The 2,210-nt window shown below is 42.7% G+C and overlaps 1 annotated feature.

Moving 5' to 3' along the window:
* Positions 794-1,993: an enhancer, noted in NCBI's record as "CDK7 strongly-dependent group 2 enhancer chr6:82853903-82855102 (GRCh37/hg19 assembly coordinates)". NCBI's record gives its function as "activates an origin of replication core promoter dependent on BRD2, BRD4, P300/CBP, MED14 and CDK7 cofactors, with strong dependence on CDK7, by STARR-seq in HCT116 cells {active_cell/tissue: HCT116}" and the evidence as "EXISTENCE:reporter gene assay evidence [ECO:0000049][PMID:35650434]".

Here is a 2,210-nt window from a genome sequence, read left to right as displayed (position 1 = left end):
ACCTCCCATAAAATGTCCAGTGGAAGCTTTCAGCCACATTAACTATTTGAGCACTGTAATCTCACAATGCATGGTGACCACAGCAGTTTTGGCCAAAGGCCTGGATAGAAAACCCTGGCAACTCAAGAGATCAAGCAACCTGAATGGTTTGGGCTCTCTAGGAAAGTATTCAGAGGGTCTGCTTCTTTAAACAAAAAACAACAAAACTCTTCCCATTTCTCACTGAACCATCATTGATAAGGGCTCCTGGTGTCCTCCCTGTCTGTTCACCTTAAGAGAGGGGCACAGAAGCCTCTACTTAGCTGCTGTTTCTGAGCCACATTGTGTGGAGGAAGGAGGGTACTCAGACAAACAAGGCTCACTAACCATTTGTTGTACTGTTACAAATTGGGCCGAGCCCTAGGTGTCTTTTCTAGCACCCTTGAAAATAGCATCCAATTCTTTGGCTAATTCCAGGCGAGGTGAAGAACTATGGTAAGCAGTAGCATCATCACCATGGAAAACCAAGGTATATGGGAAAAGTTAAAGATGTGGTGTTCTTGTAACTGTGGCTTATAATCAATGGAAGTAAGGCCCCTATTTACCAATAGTAAAGAGCATTTGTGTTTAGACTTCAAACTGCAGCCCTTCCTGGGTTCTGCTTAAACTTGATTTTTAGTTTCTTGAAGTGGTTTTGGAATTATAGTTGAGATAAAGATAGTAATATCACAATATAGATTTAGCTTTTAAATTGCATCAAGTAATATTGGAAGGCTTTAAAACTTACTTTAATATTCAAGCATAGAACAGGAGAGACTCAGACTATTTATACTTTCGCATTGGAGCTTGAATTGTGTACAAGTATGTATGTGAGTGTTTTGAATGTTTTCTGTTAGGTTTTTAGCTACGATAGGGCACATCAACTTATTTACACTCCAGCATAGTGAGCAGCAGCATAAGCCTTGGATCTGACAAAGCCGTGATTCTGTGGGAACATTTATATCACGTTTTCTGTCTCTCTCTCCTAAAGGGCGACTGAGGGAACCGATCCCTCTGGGACTTTTGCATGAGTCATTTGGCAGTCAGCATTGCTGCTTGTGAGCTATTGACAGGCAGTAGCCACTCCTCCCTCACCATTCCCTGTTCTGAGAAGCATACCTTTATCACTTCCATGCTTTTCTTCTTCTGTTCTGAAATTTTTTTAACAGAAAGGGTGTGTGTGTGTGTGTGTCTGTGTGTATGTGTGTGTGTGTGTGTGTGTGTGTGTAGGGTGAGAGAGGAAGAAAAACAGGTGATTTATATGCTTTAAATTCCTTTTCATTTTGCAAGGAGACCACATGCCATTTCCAAGACAGAGACATCCTGTGAGAAACAGATTTCATTAGAGAGTCTGAAATGACAGGAATGGTTTAAATTCAGCATCGAGGAAGAGAATGCTGCCTCTAGGTAATGCACAGCTAAAGTGGTTCCAAATGTTTTATCTGATGCCAGCTGTGCAGCCTTCTGGATAAATCATTTCACATCATACACTTCAGAGCATCCAGTGCGGATGTATCCCCCTGCCACAGAGATCCTTAACTGGAAACAAGCAGCTACTGCACTGCTACTGCCCCAAAAGGAGCTGCTTCCTCACCCCCTCACCGTTTCAGCATTTCCAGCACCATCACCTCATCCCAACAGCTCCATGACGGAACTCAGAGTGATGCAGACCAATAAACTCTGCCCATTGGGACTGAGTTTCCCTGAGTACACTAGCCATTCACTCCTATTTATTTTCCTTTAGACATGGTGAATCATCTTTTGTGCCGTCTTACATTGTGTGACTCATTGCAGTCTATTTTCTGCCCAGGCTCAGCCCAGTGGCTCATTTCTGGAGAGGCCCCTTCCATGTCTTAAATGTCATGGATCACAACATTGTACTTTGTAGGAATCCCAAGCTCGCTTCACCGGAGATTAGTGTAGTTAATCAGTAAGAGGATGACAAAGAAATTGCCTTTGTATGGATGAAACTACCCAGGTCTCTCAGACACTTATTTTAAGACCATAATTTGCATATTGCTTTGTGGTGATGACAGTGTTGGACTTTGTAATTTCATTCCCTTTGCTTTTATCAGGAGACACGTGTATCAAATGCAGCATGTGAAATCAACATCTGCTTAAAGAAGTTTCCAGCACAAACCTTAGCTAGTGGTGGCCTTTGCTAATGGCCTCCCTTCCCCTCCCCTCTGCTC

The sequence above is a fragment of the Homo sapiens genome, chromosome 6 (genome assembly GCF_000001405.40).
Source record: "Homo sapiens chromosome 6, GRCh38.p14 Primary Assembly".
Classification (NCBI taxonomy): Eukaryota; Metazoa; Chordata; class Mammalia; order Primates; family Hominidae; genus Homo; species Homo sapiens.
The sequence above is the reverse complement of the archived record's forward strand: the minus strand, read 5'-3'. Positions and strand labels throughout refer to the sequence as shown.